General features: G+C 48.3%; 1 protein-coding gene across 1 annotated transcript in view, besides 1 other annotated feature; it reads left to right on the top strand.

The window, feature by feature from the left end:
* The window catches only part of GRIK3 (glutamate ionotropic receptor kainate type subunit 3), a 238,989-nt gene that overhangs the window by 55,789 nt on the left and 168,365 nt on the right, over positions 1-14,835 (top strand). The window lies entirely within an intron of this gene.
* Positions 12,162-12,362: a silencer, noted in NCBI's record as "peak179 fragment used in MPRA reporter construct". NCBI's record gives its function as "represses an SCP1 promoter by STARR-seq MPRAs in K562 erythroleukemia cells {active_cell/tissue: K562}" and the evidence as "EXISTENCE:reporter gene assay evidence [ECO:0000049][PMID:32103011]".

Here is a 14,835-nt window from a genome sequence, read left to right as displayed (position 1 = left end):
CGTGCATGTTAGATGATGAGAGATGAGTGGCCAAGTCACCCTCCTTGCCCCAGTTGATAGCCAGCCAACTGTCAGTCATGAAACGAGGCCATCCTAGACCAGCTAACCCCCGCAGACCACAGATACAGTAGTGAGCCCACCCTAGGTCTGCCTAGCTTGCCCAGATCAGTAGATTAATCTAGTTGATCCATAGACTCCTGAGCAATAGCAAATGCTTATTGCTTTAAGCCACTGAATTTTGTGAAGATTTGTTATGCAGCAGTAGCTAACTGATACACCTCCCTGCTGGGAGAACTTTAAGGATGTGTTGATGTTTGCTTTCTAGCCGAGTCCATAAACCTGTGGAGGTCTGCTCCTGGAAGGCAAGACTCAAAATATGGTTGGACTCAAGTTGCAGTGATGGCTCAGTATATTGATAGATGCTCCGTAATCTGGGTGCAGTGCGTGCCAGGCAGCTGCACTTCCTGCCACTTACAGAGAATTTGCTGTAATGCATTGTGATGCATTAGCATAATAATTGCTAAGCATTCACAAATGAATAGCTCACTGACTGATGGATTTTGTACAGAATCTGTGAAGGTTACATCGAGGGTGAAAACATTTCACTGTGTCAATGAACATACTTAATTTTTCTGGAAGTGCTATTTAAATTGCGTCGTGCTATGACATTAGCATAACAAAGACATAATGCATTCGTTTATGCTGTAGTAGGGAACACTGCCATAATCAGCGGACACAGTGTAGGGGGAGTGATGTGCAGAGAGCAGCCCCATTGGGTCCCTGTGGCTGTGCAGGGGAGGTCTTGCCCTGCAGGGCCTGCCCCCAGAGTTGGCTCCACATGGAGTTCTGGGGCCTCTGGCAGTGGGTGGACTCTGTTTATTGGCTTGTTTCCTTTTCACTGATTTTCTCTTCTCAATGCTCTGGCAACCGAGTCCTGCTAATGGGTGGGTGGGTCTTGGCTGACAGAAGAGAAACCCTCAGGAGAATTAGGAAGCATTCAAATCTGTCAGGATTCACCCACCCTCTTCAGCAAGGCAGGGCAGCCTCCCCAGAATCAACCAGCTGGTCCCAGAAAACTGTTGCCTTGGGTCCTCAGTCTCTCCAGCCCCCTCCCCTAAGACCACCTTCAGAGCTGTCACAGGAAGCATCGCAGGGGAATGGCTTTATTCTCTTAATTTTCTACATTTTTTGCATATCCAGCTCTGCAAAGGGGAAGACAGAGCCTGTTAATTGAGCATCTACTGCCTGCCAAGCTCAAGCTGCTGTTTTTACATACATCAGCTCTGCTTCTCAGCTGGCTGTGCACACAATGGTAAGAGTGCTCTCATATTAGAATTTCATGGTCCAGCTCTGGGTTTCTTTTATCCAGAACTTCTCAGAACCTTTAGTATAATAGTGCATCTTATACATCTCCAAGAGGGAGATATGAGTCTCAAATCTTTAAGACAATGGGACCTGGTTTGGGAGAGGCAGGCATGATTTCATTTGTTACCCTATAAGGATTCAATGAAGTAAGGATTACTAACCCATTTCAGAGCTAAAGAAATGGAGGATTCTCAAGGAAGTAATTTGCACTGAGCTGGCAAATGGTCCATGCGGGATTTGAATCCACATCTACCTGACTCCAACACCAGAGGGATGATGTGGACTGGCTTCCTGTGGGGAGGGGAGGGGACTGACAGCCAGCCTCTGGAGGGAGTGACCAAGCAGGACTGCCCATGATTGCTGCTGGTCACACCCGCTTGGACTCTTAGATTGTGATTGGCTGTTCTGTGCCAGATGCTGGGTCAGGACAGAGAAATGAGGGACTCTCATCTGTCCTGTGTCTAGAAGCCTTTTTGGCAGAGGGATGTGTTTCAGAAGTGTGGGTGACTGGGGAGGGGATCGATCAGCCCACCCTAACCCCTGAAGTGAGGCTCATAAGGGAGGTCAACTGAGAGCTCTGGTGCTTTGGGACTGTGCTGGTATAGAATTGAAGGGACTGTAACTCAGATGATGACTCAGAGCCCCAGGAAGGATGGAGAGATCCAAGAACCATGGGGAGGGGGTAAAGATCAGCACGGATCATCCCTTCAACCAATAGCATACCTTGAGATGCAGTCGATTTCATACCTCCTGGGTCCCAATCCTCAATCTGGGCAGTTGTGAAGCCGGATAGTGACTGAGATCACTGGGTAGACCTTGTCCACCTTGGCATTCTTGTCTGCCAAGGTCCATGGCCCATGGGGATGGGGACAATTTGAGTGGGACCCTGCCCAATTGGCTTATTCCCCAGAGCCAGGAGCATCTTACTGCTTAAGAGGTCACAAAGGTTTTTCAGACCTGATGAAAATGATAAACGCTTTTCCCCCGAAAAAAAATGCACATTCATATAATAAGTTGCATAGAATGTAAGAAGTCGTAGATGCCCTGTAGGACCTCCTGTCTTGGGGGGAATGTAGCTGAGATTTAAAACTCTGGCAAAAGGGAAGGAGTCGAGAGCCTCCCCTGTCACTGTCCTGTTGGCTTACAAGGATTCACTCAAATGCCTGAGGTTGGCATTCAAGGGCCCATCGCACATCCAGCTTCCTCTCTGACTACCCCACTACACACACCCTCCCATGTGTCCATCCCCTGCTGTAGCCAAGCAGGAGAACCCAGTGCTTCCAGAACACATCACAGGTCTTCCTACTTTGGGTTGCTCCTTGGGATGCTCTTCTGCTTCTTTTGCTTCTTTGCTGTTAAAGCAAATCCTGTTCACTTTTGGAGACTCTCCTCTTTCAGGAGGCCTTCCTGCTCATTCGAATTTCATGTCATTCAATTTAGCACTTGTTTATTAACACTTCCCACCTGCTACATGCTGGGATACAGAAAGGAATGGGGTAGACGGCTTACTGCTGTCATGTGACCTCTCATGTGACCTACAGGCCAGTGGGGAAACAGACAAGGAAATAAGAATTTGCAGCTGTAATGAGCGGCACCAAAGGAGAAAGTGGAGGGTGCCTCAGGAGCACGCAGCAGTGGGGATATCATCTCCTTCAGGGCAGGGCTTCCCAAAACCGATAGTTTAAATTCCTCCTTCACAATTTTTGCCCAGCAGCATACCGATCTCCATGATCATTTACTTCTCATTGTTTTGCTTTTTAAAAGCTTTAGGCTGGGCGCAGTGGCTCATGCCTATAATCCCGGCACTTTGGGAGGCCAAGGCGGGAGATCACGAGGTCCGGAGATCGAGACCATACTGGCTAATACAGTGAAACCCTGTCTCTACTAAAAATACAAAAAATCAGCTGGGCATGGTGGCATGCACCCATAGTCTCAGCTACTCAAGAAGCTGAGGCAGGAGAATCACTTAAGCCCAGGAGGTGGAGGTTGCAGTGAGCTGAGATCGTGCCACTGCACTAACTCGAGCCTGGGCGACAGAGCAAGACTCCCTCTCAAAAAAAAAAAAAAAAAAAACCAACTTTAGATAAGCTCATTGATTTTTTAGCCTTGTCCTGGGTGATGTTATCTGTGAAAACCTGAGTCCCAATGTGCTATTTATGTATATTTAAAGTTTTAAAAAATGTTTTATTGTGATACCTATATAGAACATAAAAATTACCATTTTAACAGTTTTTAAGTATCTGATTCCGTAACATTAAGTAGATTCACAATCTTGTACATCTATCACCACTGTCCATTTCCAGAACTGTTTTATCATCTCAAACAGAAACTCTGTACCCATGAAACAATAGTTCCCCATTACCCCTCCTCCCAGCCCCTGGTAACTTCTGTCCTACTTGCTGTCTCTATAAAGGTGCCTATTCTAGGTACCTCATATAGGTGGAATAAATACAATATTTGTCTTTTCGTGTTTTGCCTATTTCACTTAGCATGACTTAGAGGTTAATCCATATTGTAGCATGTATCAGAATGGCATTCCTTTTTTTTTGTTTTTTTTTTTTTGAGACAGAGTCTCGCTCTGTCACCCAGGCTGGAGAGCAGTGGCGCAATGTCAGCTCACTGCAAGCTCCGCCTCCTGGGTCCACACCATTCTCCTGCCTCAGCCTCCCGATTGGCTCGGACTACAGGCGCCCACCACCACGCCCGGCTAATTTTTTTTGTATTTTTAGTAGAGATGGGGTTTCACTGTGTTAGCCAGGATGGTCTCGATCTCCTGACCTCGTGATCCACCCGCCTCAGCCTCCCAAAATGCTGGGATTACAGGTGTGAGCCACCACTCCCGGCTGGCATTCCTTTTTAAGGCTGAATAATATTTCATTTGTGTTTATACCACATTGTTTACCCATTCATCAAGGATGGACATTTGGGTTGTTTCCACCTTTGGGCTATTATCTGTGCTGTTTATATTTTAATATATGCATGTGTTAAACATATATATGTTAACATATTTTAACCCATAGGTACATAACTAATAAAGGATTAAGTTGGTGCAAAAGTAACTGCGGTTTCTGTCATTGAAAGTAATGGCCAAAAATGCAATGACTTTTGCACCAACCTAATAAAAAGAGTTTTCTGTGATCACCTGCCCTGAAAGCACAGCCTAAAATAAGGACGTGAGGGCAGGTAGTTTACTTGGGAGGAAGCAGGAGTGCAGGTGTGGAGAAACTGAGGCAGGGAAGGGATAAAAGCCAATGAAATGCTGAGCTGGCTGCTGCCCAGTATTTCATGGGTTTGCTGGGGCCTCAATCCCATGAAGGCCTGAAGAACCGAGCAAAACACACCACAGAGTCATCTCACTGGAGGACAGAGAAGCTGGGCACATGTCTGCAATTTCCAACACCCATTATGTTACTTCCCCCTCACACTTCCTGCTTTCTCATGAGGGGCTGAGTGACCTTCCCAAAATTCAGGTGAGACAAGGGCAGGGTACTGTCCATGACAGCTCTTCTGAAATCAGGTGAGCTGGGAGGATGTGGCACGCAGCATCATAAACGTCTCCTACGTCATCTGAAATCATTTTTCATGCCTCATTTCATGCTTTGAGAGAGTTTTTCCCTAAAGAAGTGATGTCTAGGCCCAGCGCGGTGGCTCATGCCTGTAATCCCAGCACTTTGGGAGGCCAAGGTAGGTGGATCACCTGAGGTCACGAGTTCAAGACCAGTCTGACCAATATGGTGAAACCCCATCTCTATTAAAAATACAAAAAAAAAAAAAATTAGCCGGGCGTGGTGGCGCATGCCTGTAGTCCCAGATACTAGGGAGGCTGAGACAGGAGAATTGCTTGAACCCGGGAGGTGGAGGTTGTGGTGAGCCAAGATTGTGCCACTGCACTCCAGCCTGGGTGACAAAGCGAGATTCTGTCTCAAAAAAAAAAAAAAAAAAAAAGGAAAAAGAAGTGATGTCTAAGCTGACACTCAAAGAAGGAGTAGGTAGCCAGGCAAAGAGTGTGGGAAGGGTGTTTTTGGTGGAAGAAACAGCTCAAGGAAAGGCCTGGTGTGCAGATATAGCAAGCACTTTCCTAGGCCAGAGAAGTCCAGCGCCGCCAACGCAGGGAGGAGGGGTGGAGTGTTGCTTCTAAGGAGGCAGGCAGGGAACAGGCTTTGCAGGGCCCTGGTGGCCTCTGTATGCTATCCTAAGGGCTGGGGGTAGCTTTGGAAGTATCTGAACAAGGGAGGGTTAGGTGCATGAAGGGACTGCCTGGAGATTTGCTTTTCCTCTGTTGTCCTGGGGCAGATACCAGACTGGCATGGGTCACTGATACCTGACTTTCTTCCCAAGGGACTACAGTGGGAACCTCTCAGGTCTTTGTACTTTCAAGGCCAGTGGGCACCTAGTACAAGCTCAGAACTGATGGTGATGATGATGGAGACCCTGGGCCCCCATGTGCTTTCCCTGAGTGTCAACGAATCCTCCTCTGGACACAGATGTTCTGCCCCATCCTTTGGCCCCTAGTCTAGTAGAGAGAAAAGGGTCACATGGAACTGGGCCGACTTCTGCTCCCAGCTTGCTGAGGGACATTGGGTGAGTCACTTTTCCTCTCTGAGCCTCAGTTTTCTAGTCTGTTAAATGAGAATAATGCCTGTCTTGCATGGTTGTTGGGCAGATTCCATGAGAAAACAGCAAAGAGATTGGACCCTTGAAAGTGCTCAAGACATGGGGATTTTCTTTCCTAGCGCCCTACACTCATTTTGACTCCCTGAACGTAACCTGGCTCAGCCCACCTGAGGGAAAGGGGAATAAGAGTGGCAACGGGAAGTCCTGGAGGTTGTGGGAGCCCTTGTTAGGATAGAACCCACCTCCCGTTTCTCAAGACCCTGCTCCTACCCCTTCCACTCTCTCTGTGGTGTAATTCAGGGACAAGATCATATTACATCATTGTATTTCCTCATCCAGGAGCTGGCTGGGGTGCCGTGAGCCTGTTACTTTGCTTCCAAGATGCTGGAATCAGTACGGAAGGCCTGGTCCATTCCATCAGGATCTGTCCACTTTCAGCCCTGGCTGACTCTTTGGGCCTAGGCAGAGTGGGGTCCTTAGGGGCTCCAAGGAGGTTCCAGACCACTGAAGTTCTGCAGGAAATTCCCAGGCCTCCCAGGCCCTGTGGATTCTCCTTCAGAAATCACAGCCTCATTGGGATGCGGAGCACGTGGCGGAGCCCATGCCAAAGATGGATCAGGAGCCTCCGCGTGTGGCCTGGCTGGGATGATTACTGCCGCTAAGTAAATTGCCAGTGCCTCCTCAAGCCCCCTCCTGCCTGGCTCCGTGATTCATTTCCATTCAGAGAAGTTTAATAATTAGCAAAGGGGATTTCTAACAACAGATGGTGCCAGGCCCTGGGGAGTGGTTCTGCCGCAGAAGCACTTCACAGAGAGGTAAGCTGGAGAAGTTTCCCTGTTCCCTCCAAAAGGGTGTCTCCAGGCCTCTGTGACTATTGGTGGGCCCGTTTATATAATGTGGCTGCAAGAAGAGCAGAAGAAAAGGAAGGTGTCAGGTGGGGGAATGTGGATGCTGATGACTGTGCTGGAGAGGAGATGGCAGGCAGCAGTCTTCTTCACTCTGCTATCCACCTAGAAGTCTTTGAGCATTGAGGATCAGAGCTGCCGAAGGCCACCCAGAAGCCTCCCTGGGATTGGGGCAAGGTTCTAGGAGCTGCCAAGAACTTCTAAGAGGCTTCTGATATCCAAGTATAACCTTTCCCCACTGTCCCTCTCTGGAAGTGGAGCAATTTGCGCATCTCTCATCCTTCTTAAGGCACAGAGGGGAGGACTTAGACTCTGGATTCTCTTGATTTTAGAGGCCCAACTCTAAGTGTGTTAAGTAAAAAGGGAATTAGCAGGCCCTCAGAATTGGCAGTCTAGGGGTAGACTGGTTCAGATGTGGCTAGACCTGGGTAATCAAGCCATGCCATCCCTTGACTTTGCTTCTGTGAGGCCTAGCTGCAGCCTCATTCAATTCTACGGCAAAGGCAGCCTTCCATTTGTATGGGAAGGATGTTTCCCCTCCAAGCTCTTGAATAAAGCCCTCCCAGTTGGCCTGGACTTGGTCATGTGGCTATCCTGGAGTCAGAAGGATGATGAGGCTGCTTTGCCATTTTAGACACTTGCCCATCTCTATGTCTTGGAGAAGGTGCTCTATGACTGACAGCCCTACCAGAACCAGGAGGTGAAGGAGGTTCTCCAAGGGAAGGGCCACAGAAGAGCCAGACTAAGCATGTCCTGGAGGTCCAGAGGCAAGTGGTCAGCCAATGTCCCACAGCAGTAAAGCCAGAGAGAGGCCAATTTTGCTTTGCCTGGCTGGTGGTGTCTCACAGCTTTGCATGGCTCCCCAACAAGGGCTTGTTGTGAGCACATCATCACCTAGTCAGTTCCTACTGGACTGGCCCAATGGTCCAGGACTGTCTTGGAATAAAATATAGGGTCATTCTTCTTGTGGTAGTGAAAGGCTATTGGGGGAACAAAGTCATGAAAAACCAATTACAAAACCAAGAGGAATATAAGAGACATTGCAGGGCAATCTGTGGAATCAAAGCATAATTGATTTCCCAGTGAGCATGGCAGACCCATGACCAGCAATGAAGAGGAACAAGTAATCTATGTACAGTGGAGTGGGCTGGGGAAGAGGAACCCTAGAGAAGTGTTGGGAGCCAGTTCTCCAAGACAAGCTGGATCTGGGGAGACTTATTCCAATCAGAGAAAATGGCATAGTGGTAGGATTCACTGACCTGTCCAACCATTCATCCACCCATCCATCCTTTTATTCATTCATAAAATATTTACTGAGTACAATTTTTGTGCCAGGAATTGAGCTTCCAATGGTGGGCAAAAGAGTAAAGGATGTGAGGTGAATGGTGCATAGAATGACCCAGCTAGATTAGAGGATTGGAATGAGAGAAAGGCTAGAAATGTCATTTGAGTCAGTATATGCGGACCTCCGATATCAGACTCCGGTGTTTAAGGAATTTCCTGAGGGCAATGAGGCCTGATATGGTACGGTGGCCCCACTCATCACCTGTGGAAGACATACGGATGACCTCCTAGTTCACATTAAGGGAGTTTCAGGAGCAGAGAGACCCATTCCAGCTCGTAGCAGAGAGTGGTCTTTTCACAAATTGCAGAAACTGTGTAGTTGGTTGATAAAATTTTCCCAGTCAATTCTGCCTCTGTATGTGTTTATTAAACCTTTGGTGGCTGCTAACACAGGTCTCCAGAAAGCAGAAGCAGCTGACGTGATGAATGACTGCTCAGTTTTTGGATATCACACCTGGCATCAAGCATCCTTACCCTACCTGTCAACCTTGCCCTTCACACTGCCATTGGAGATAACACTGATGTTATATATTTTTTCCCCTGCCAAATTTTTTGAAAGTATTTCATATTGCCATTTTTCATATGGTCATAGTTTCGATTAGCTGAATTGTTCTTACATCACATAATAGAGTTCTGTCCATTCGCATCCTCATGGGGTTTCATGGAAAGCTCTGTGATTTCTGGGTGTGTTGTGCCCAGCTGGCTTTGAGAAGATGTGTGTTATGGCCTGAAGCCAGGACCCAAGACTGCATTGAACTCTGTGAGTTCCGTGTCTTCCCTTGGTGAATTTCACTTATCCTGTTGCTTATGCCAGTGTCCTCTCTACAATGAAGCCCTTTCGAATATCCTCAGAAAATAGTGACTCTTTCCTCATCATGCACACCCAGGGTACTTTATGCAGGTCTCTACTCTCTCTACTCCAGTACTTATTCCATCATTAGGATTTTCATTCTGCACCTCCAGGGCCTAGCAACAGGCTTGGCACATGGTTAGTGCCAACAAATGTTGAATGAATGGATAAATAAATCTATCTGTCAATGATTATGTGTGTGTTGGGAGGCAGTTAATTTGTCAAGATCAAACTTGCTTCCAAAAACCAAACAAAACCAAAACCCAAATCTAACTCTGCTCCCAGGTGGCAGATTTGAATATGGGCCCCGTCTCCTTATTAAACGTTCACTGTTCTCAGAATGGAGAGAGGATGACCAGACACAGCCCCTTGCTGGTTTCTGAGGGGCAGGTGTGACCTCCCTGAGTTGTTTAGGTCCATTTCTCCCCCTGGCTGTCTTGACTGGCTCCTGCCATTGGTGGGGCCCTGCTCAGCCCCTGTTGACACTCTTGGCATGGTAACCTTCAGGTTTTGACTTGGGGGATGAGCTGGAGGATGCGGGTTTGGTTTTCTGGAAGGGTTGCTTTGTCTTGGGAGCCAGTGTAATTTGGGGGAAGAGAGGGTGGCATATGGTATCAATTTCATTAATCTGGCTTCTTCATGGGAGTAGAGAGAGTAGGGATTTGGCACTTTGACAAGGCCCCCAAATTAGTTTGCCTCCCTTGGGAGAGGGTTGGAAAGGCTGCCTGCCTTGGCTTTGTCTCTGGATGAGTCATTCTGTTTGCTCAAATTGTCAATTGTCAAACAACAGTAGAGAGTGCTTCCCAGGTGGGGGTGTCAGTGCTGTCCCGACAGGCACATCTGCTCCTGAGACACCCACTGCTGGGGAAATGGGAGCCACGTTGCTACCCAGTTGCCAGCCTGAATGTCATGGCAAAGACCCCAGCAAGTCCTGGCCTTGCCCCACGTGGAGCTGTGGCAGGTGGGGCCAGCAGCTGTGGAGGCTCCAGATTGTAAAGAGGGGCAGCAACTGTGACCATGTTCCTGTGCTGTGACCAGTGGGCTGACTAGGTGCATGTGAGAGAGGTGGAGGAGCTACCAGCAAGGGGCCCTTGAAAGGGCAGGTGGAGGTATTTTCAGAGCTGCCCAAAGCTTGTTTGGAAAGAGGTTAAAACATTCCCTAATCTTGGGGGAGTATCAACACCTGTGGGTAGGATACTCAGTCAACCTCCTTAACAATGTGCTTCTGACCTGCCTTATGGGAATGAGTGTCACTCCCAATGGCCACCAGTTATCCTGCCCTGCGGGGTAGTGGTAGTGATGGTGGGGGAGAGGAAAAGACAGGAAGGGCGGAGACAAAAATAAATCTATGGAGGGAGCATGAACAGAGGGAAACAAAGAAGACACACACACACACACACACACACACACACACACACACACACACACGGAGAGAGAGAGTGAAAGAGAGAGAGAAGAGCAGGTGAAACTGTGAGGAAGTGAATAATAGTGCTCCCATCACTCATGGTAAAAGCTTCCAGGGATGTTTCTACCTGCAAGAGATGGGGGTAGCTGGGGCAGGGTTGGGGCAGGGAGTCTGCCACCATCACAGAACCCCAGTGCTCTGCCAGCTCAGTTTCTCAGTACGACAGAGGGCCTAGTGGCAAACACACCAGAGGACCTGGCACTGAATCTGGGCCTCTGTTCCCAGGTACCCGGGGCCAGGTCCTTCAGGACAGGCTTACTGGGCAAAGTATGTCATTATTATCACATTATTGCTATCATTTATTGAGTGCTTACTATTTATCGTAGATCTGTTATCTCAATTATCATAACAGGATGTGCTTTTGCTATTATTAGCCCCATGTTATAGATGGAAAAAACAGAGCCTTAGAGAGTTTAAGTAACCTGTCTATAGGTGGTAAAGTTGGGCTTCTGACTCAGTGTGTCTGGCACCCAAGTGCATTATCTTAACCCTCTGCCCTTCACCTCTTGTCATTTACCTTCTAGGAGCATTGCCGATGGGCCCCACCCTTTGTCCACATCACTCTGTGTCTGTCAAGCTGGATTTCCTACCTGGTTTTCCATCTTACTTCCTCTTTACCTCCTACCTGTCACCTACCTCCTCCTTTCCAGACCATAGGCTGTGGTTCTGCTTCCTGGTGTCAGTGTTTCCATAGAGACACAGATGACCCATGAGTCTTGCTCCCTCATTTCCCATGCTCCCTCAGGGCCATGAGCTATATGCTGTAGAGTGATCCCTGAGCAGAGGGTAGTCAGGCCCTGCTGGGCATGGAGGTTGGAGCAGAAATCCAGGACAAGGCAGAGAAAAGCTTCAGAGTGAGAAGCACTTCAGAGATTTGTGGGTCCCAATAGAAAGGGCAGAGGTGCACATACCCCCTGGTCTCAGCTTGCAGTGAAGAAGGGAGGACCAGGAGCTGGGGAAGAGAAGTGAGGACCAGAAAGGCTCTTGCACTCTATCACAGCACTGATCAAACTATATTGTCATTGTCTAGTGGTTAAAAGGGAAGGCCCTAGAGTCAGGATGTCTGACTTCAAATTTTAGCCCCTCCTTTTGCTAACTGTGTGAGATGTTGTCTCTAAAGGGGCCCAACACAAGACCTGATACTTAGTAATAATTCAACAAATATTCATGATTGTTAACATTAACTTAATTGTCCTTCTCACGTATTAAGAGGGCAAGGATTCCATACATCTTTTTTTAAACCATTGTATCCCTCAAAACAAGCACATTGTCTGGCAAATAGTGGGTCTTATTATATACTTGGTGAATAAATGAATGAGGGACTCACCATGCCCGGCTCTATTATTATTTTCTTCTCAGGATCTAAGCCTGAAGATCAGAATCCATATGAGTATGAGAATGCCAAGGGGTTGGGGGGGTGGTCTGTATCCTGGAAGAGGGTTCTGATGAGGAGGATCTTGGAAATAAGCTATGATTAAATCCATCAAGGATTCAGTGGTATTCAGAGTGATCTCTCGGTGTCCAGAGACACCCGGCTTCGTGAGGAAGAAAAGAGGGCTCTTACATGGATCCACAAAGATTAGGATCTGCCTTAGTCCAGGCTTCTCAAGCTAGAAATTTTTCTCACCTTCACTCCCCCGCTAACTTCAACTGTGGGAAGTCAAAAGACCAAGGTCATCCTCAGCCTTAGCCAAGCAGAACCTTGCTGGAGCTGTCCCTGGTGCTGACCTCCCAGCCATCTCTGTCCTGGCAAAGAGGTTCTGATCCAGACCCACCCAGTCCAAGCTTGACTGCTCTGATGAACGTCCAAGGCCCCTGTTGGCTTGGCAAACTCTTTAGCTGCAGTCCAGGCCAAACCATGACCTTTCCGTCTGACACTTGCCTGATAGCCTGTCTGGTCCCATGTCCAGCTTGAGACATCACAAATCTGCCACAAGCTGCCCCAGCTGATGCAGAACTGGGCCTGTGGAGAGGTGATTGGGGCAAACCCTCAGGATAACAGATAAGGTGCACATCAGTGCACAGATGGCTGGACCTGCACCCTTGGCTGGCACCCTTTCCTGGCTAGCATGTCCTATACCCCTGTCTCTTGGGACCATGGGGCATATTTCTCTTCTAGAGCAAAACAGGTGTCACGGGTGGGGCTAAGAAGTGCCGTCTCAGCACCATGCTTCCCTGGCTAATATAGCACTGTGCTGGCTTATCCCTCGAAGGGCAGATTAATCATTTCCGCCCCAAGTCACCATCCAGGCCAGATTTATTGTGGCGGGAGCATGGGAGCCCCCGACTTTATGGTCTTGTAAATTACAGAGCTGCTTGTGCAAGAGGCAAGCTGGGCTGTAAATCATGTGTAATTGCTTGTAAATTGGGAAACAAATAGTATTTTTGCTTAAATTACCCTCCTTGCAAATGTTTCTTAGGGAATTGAGGTTCCACAGAGAACGTTTAACCTCCCTGGGAACAAAATTCCCGTTGGGACTCAATCTAAACTATCTCAGAATCTTTCAGAGCCACATCTCAGCAAGTCTGGAGGCCTGTGGGTCAAATGGAGAAGAAATGACTGCAGTTGTCATAAATTCTTCTTTTAGGTTGGCTTAAATCACATTCCCCTGGGACCTCTCTCCCCCCATTTCTAGTTAACCCCCAGAGTCTCATCTATCCCCTGGCTATGGCAAGCCCTCTCCAAGTCTCTGGGAAAACAAGTCCATGTGAGCTCCAGAGAATCCAATTTCATTCCTTTTTTCCCCCACGCAAAGGCAGTGACTCACTGTTCGCTGGCGAGTGTGGCCTCTGTGTTAAGATGTTATTTGCTTGCTTATTCTCATCTTTTCCCATTTCAATGAAATTACATTTATAATCTTTTTTACCTGCCTTGGTCAACTTGGAAGAGTCATTAAATTTTCTGATAGGCAGCCTGGTAAACTTTAATTGAATCACGAATCACCATCTTCTGGAAAGTTCAGCCCGCGAGGACTTTGGGTACCGTATAATTCAACTCGTTCATTTGACAGGCGAGGAAATAGAAGTCTAGGATGGTTAAGTGACTTGCCCAAAGTCATACTCTGAGTGAGGACAGCTCTGGGATCAGATTTGAGCCTGCTTTTTCAGGTACCACACGCCTTCCACTCCACGGCACTGGGCCCCTTGGATTTAGCTGTTACTCAGGCAGCACTGCTATGTGATAAACCTTAAGAGGATCAACAAACATTTGTCTTATAATTGGGGGAATTAACAGCGTTTCAAAACCTTTCCTAGGAAACTGACTCAGCTAATGGGCTTGGGCTGTGATTGGTGGCAGCTGGCAACTATGGGGGTCTTCCTATGTGCTCTCTCCCCCACAGGACATTTGTCAGATGCCTTGGGGATTCCTCTTTTCAATGTGGCACTTGAGGTTTGAGTTTGATGCTATTAGTGATGGCTGTGCTGGTCATATCACGTGGGGTGTCTTGGCAGGGGTGTGGGTAGTGGAAAGGACATGAATGGTCTTGAAATCAGGCACTGTTACTCACTGTGGGCATGGTCTTGGGCAAGTCACTTCACTGAGCCTCCATTTTCTTATCTATCCAATGGGCATCAGGAGCTGACCCTTTCAGCGTAACTGAAAACTATAAAAGATGAACATGAGAAAGTATCCAAGTCAGAGCCCCACATACAGGGAGCCCTGGTCCATGCTGATTTTATCAGAAGGGCAGAGATGTGGGGGTTCGGTTTCCAGTGGCCGGACTTGTCTATGGATGCTGCATGTGTGAGGAGGGGAGAGGGGTCACTGTGTGGAGGCCACCCCTGAGTCATGGAGCCTCATGGTCTGATTTCCTCCCCTTGGGGAGTTTGCCAGCTGCAGTAGATGAAGCTGCCAGGCTGGGGCTCAGGGGCCCCCTCTACAGGGAGGTCACCTGAGTTCTGAGAAATCCTGAACCCTCAGCTGGTGCTTGTCTCCAGGCAAGACCTGGAGGAGGACTCTGTTGCTGTCCAGAGGAGTACAGCAGCCCAACACAGTTGGTCCATCTGTGCCAGACCTCGCCCAGCTGTGTAAGCAGCCTGGTGTCCCCATACTAATGAGTGACTCTCTTCTTGCCCAGGCCAGGCCCACGGCTTCTTAGCACCTCCTGCCTCTGCATGCATTTGTCCATGGGGTCTTCATGACCACGGTGGTACAGAGAATCCCCAGCTGGCCTCCCAGGCCTTTGCCTGTCCTTAGGAGAAGGCTCTGGCTTTAAACCCTGTCTCTTCATCCTCACCAGCTACTTCTTTGTCCCTGGGGATGATGGACAAATGGAAACAATCTGAGGCTC

The sequence above is a fragment of the Homo sapiens genome, chromosome 1, assembly GCF_000001405.40.
Source record: "Homo sapiens chromosome 1, GRCh38.p14 Primary Assembly".
Taxonomy (NCBI): Eukaryota; Metazoa; Chordata; class Mammalia; order Primates; family Hominidae; genus Homo; species Homo sapiens.
Note: the sequence above shows the minus strand (reverse complement) of the source record. Positions and strands in the feature narration are given on the sequence as shown.